Source organism: Homo sapiens, chromosome 16, assembly GCF_000001405.40.
Source record: "Homo sapiens chromosome 16, GRCh38.p14 Primary Assembly".
NCBI lineage: Eukaryota > Metazoa > Chordata > Mammalia > Primates > Hominidae > Homo > Homo sapiens.
The window spans coordinates 76,804,235-76,807,873 of record NC_000016.10 but is presented as its reverse complement, the minus strand read 5'-3'; the positions used below and the strand labels follow the sequence as shown (position 1 = coordinate 76,807,873).

Genomic DNA, 3,639 nt, shown 5'->3' with positions numbered 1-3,639 from the left:
ATCTTGAGAACTATCAGACATTAATGAAGAAGTTGAAGATGTAAATGAAAGTATATTCCATGTTCATGGAAGGGAATATTGTAAACATGTCCATTCTCCCCAGAGCAATATACAGCTTTAATACAATCCCTATCAAAATTCCAACTCGATTCTTCACAAGAATAGAAAGAACAATCCTAAGATTTGTATGAAACCACAAAAATCTCCGAGTATCTGAGGCAATACTGAGAAAGCAAAACAAGTTAGATCCACCATACAATTTAAAATTATATTAAGAGGTTTCATAGTAATCAAAATCGTAAGGTATTAGCAAAAATGCACAAAAATCAACCAATGGAACAGAATAGAAAGCCCAGAAATAAATTCCAACTTATACAAACAACTAGTTTTTCAAAGGACAACCTAAAGACTGGGAAATAATTGCAAGTCACATCTGATATCTTTATCCAAGATTTATGAAGAACTCCTACAAATTCAATAGCAGAAGAACCCAATCAACAAATGGGCAAAGACTACTTACAACAGCAAAGTCATAGAACCAACTTAAGTATCCATCAACAGTTGAATGGATAAAGAAAATGGTATCTATACATCATGAAATACTGTGTGGCTATAAAAAAAAGTACAAAAGTCATGCCCTTTGCAGCAACATGGGTGGAGACGGAGGTCATTATCCTAAGTGAACCAACCCCAGAAGCAGGAGAATCAAATATCACATCAAGTGGGAGCTAAACAACTGGTATAAAGAGAATACAGTATAAGGACTATTAAAAGGTATTGAATGAGGGTTGAAAACTTACCTAAATGGGTACAGTATTCAGTATTTGTGTGATGGGTACACTAGAAACCCAATCCCTACCATTATGCAAGTAATACCCATGTAATGAAGAAGCATGTGTACTCTTTGAATCTAAAATTTTTAAAGCTGTCTAACAGGCAAAGGACCAAACAGACATTTCTCCAAAGATGTTAAAAGGGCCAACAAATACGAAGATGTGCTCAACATTATTAATCCTAAGTGAAGTGCAAATTAAAACCACTATGAGATATTACTTCACACTCTTAAAGATGGCTGTTATCAAAAAGAAAATAGGTATTGGCAAGGATGTGGAGAAAAGTTACATACTGTTGGTGGAAATTTAGGTTGGTACAACCATAATGGAAAACGGTATTGAGATACCTAAAGAAATTTAAAAATGTAACTGCCATGTAACCCAACAATCCATCTCCTGAATACCCAAAGGAGATAAAAGTCACACCCTCAAAGATACCTGCACTCACGTTCATTACAGCACTATTCACAACAGCCAAGACACAGAAACAACCTAAATGTCCATCAACTGACAAATGAATAAAATTGTGATATATATATATATATATAATGGAATATTATTCAGCCTTAAAAACGGAGGAAACCCTGCCATCTGTTGCAACATGAATAGACTTGGAGGACATTATGCCAAGTGAAATAAGCCAGACACCAACAGAAAAATATCACATAATCTTATTTACATGTGGAATATATGTGTATGTATGTATAGATACATAAAACAGAGCCCAAGGATTATCTTTTATGTGTCTCAGTAACAGACCGGAGGCCATTTCCATAGCAACATATACTCTGCGATTTATAAATTACAGTATGTAGGAGAGAATTGAAAAAGCCTGTGGAAACTCAAGTTTTTCAAAGAATGTTAATACCCGAAATGGGCAAGTTCCCTCTCATGATAAAACAGTCATTTAAATAACCCTAACCTCTGTGTTTAGGTATCTGGGGGGCTATTGTAATTCTCATTAAACTTCCATGAACCGTAAAGACCTCCTTAATCTTAAAATGAACATGCTGTGAAGAAAGTCATTGCAAAATACCTAGACTGTGACAGACATTAGCCTCTTACATCAATAGCATCTACTTTCACCGAACTTCTGTAAAGCTAGAAATTCTCAAGTGGAAGTATTTTTCCTTCTGCAATGAAGTTTGCTTTTGTGAACCTATGAATCTAATCTCTTTCCCTGTTCAGAACAAAACCTAAACCAGATGGTTTCATTTTCATCAGGGCCCCAAACTTAGTAAACTCTTTACTCAATTTCTTGATAGCTAGTGGTTGTTCCCTCAGGAAAGCAAGCACGCAGAAGATGTGACTGACTCTGGTCAAAATGTTCTTTTTCCTGTAGAAGTTGACCTGTGCATGATATTCTCAGGTAATGACTCCATAATGGATGTTTATAAACGGAATTCTCGACCCAATGTGTGGTTTTGAAAGCTTGTGCATTTTTAGGCCACTTCCAATGATGTGCCTTAAAGTGTGTATCTTAGGGCTCTGGGCTACAACCAGGAGAACTTTGAGGCTCTGCTGTGCTATTTACAATCTGACCTCTCTCAAGTCAATAGTTTCCCCAGGCCTTAGTTTATGTATAAGATTAGACTAGAAGCTCCCTAAGGTTCTTTCTAATTTTAAATGTTCTATGACACTCAACCCTAGCCCTCAAGGAGAAGTTAATTCAAGGGGAGCAATACGTTTGTCATAAATGACTAATGACTCAGAGAAAATGAAAGGAATGGCTCCTGACTCACCATCAGGTTTTACTATTAGTCACCCTGTAGGAGGCAAAATGAGAAAACCAGAATTGTCTTTCAAGGATAATTTGGCTTTATGAGGGACTTTGAGTGTTAGGTTTGTAGAAACTTCCAATTGAAAAGTGAGCTGTACACGCAGGGACTCCACAGACAGAGGGACCTGCAAGGGAAGGCAGATGGTGGTGACTCCATTAAGTAAGAGCTAAACAATGCAAAACTGCGAGTTGTTCGTTGTCCCCCCCCTCCCCCATCCTGCCCCACCTGTTTTTTGAGACAGGGTCTCCCCCCTCTGTCACCCAGGCTGGAGTGCAGTGGCGCGATCTCGGCTTACCGCAACCTCTGCCTGCTGGGTTCCAACCATTCTCCTGCCTCAGCCGCCTGTGTGCATGTTTTATAGAGGGTTCAGATTTCAATCCTGCTTTAACTGAAATGGTCAACAAAAGCAGTTTTTAAAAATGTTTTGAAAAATGTTTTCTACAACTTGCTCTGGAGACCAATAGTATTCTCCATGCCATGAGTTGTTGGGAGCCCACAACATGACTAAATATGAACCATTTCAAGGCAACCGTTTCTTCCAGGTCAAAGTTCTCTCTCCTGTTTTAACTCTGGTTCTTTGGGAGAAAGCGCCGTCAAACTTTAAACCCTCCTTTCCTGGCTGTGTCTCTATACTCTGTTTTTCTTTCCCCTTCCTCTCAAGAAGGCTGCTGGATGAAGACAGACTGGCAAATCTTAATGATGTGTGTGAAGTCATTCACTGGTCCCTCTAGTCTCCTCTCTAAAGTGAGTGATCTGGCCTGTTATCCCAGAGCTTTGGGAGGCTGAAGTGTGAAGAACCCTTGAGCACAGTTCAAGGCTGCACTGAGCTACAATCACACCACTATACTTCATTCACCCTGAGCGACAGAGCCAGAACTTGTCTGTATAAATAATGTCAATGATCTGGTGAAATTTTGGGGGTACTCTACTATGGGGTCAGCCTTAGAGTGGCTGATCATGCTTCCTATTAACAGTCTGGCACTCACTTCTACTTCTGTTTCTACTCATTTGCCTCCAGTGCGAAG

General features: G+C 39.0%; 1 annotated feature.

The window, feature by feature from the left end:
* Positions 2,214-3,413: an enhancer, noted in NCBI's record as "P300/CBP strongly-dependent group 1 enhancer chr16:76838358-76839557 (GRCh37/hg19 assembly coordinates)". NCBI's record gives its function as "activates an origin of replication core promoter dependent on BRD2, BRD4, P300/CBP, MED14 and CDK7 cofactors, with strong dependence on P300/CBP, by STARR-seq in HCT116 cells {active_cell/tissue: HCT116}" and the evidence as "EXISTENCE:reporter gene assay evidence [ECO:0000049][PMID:35650434]".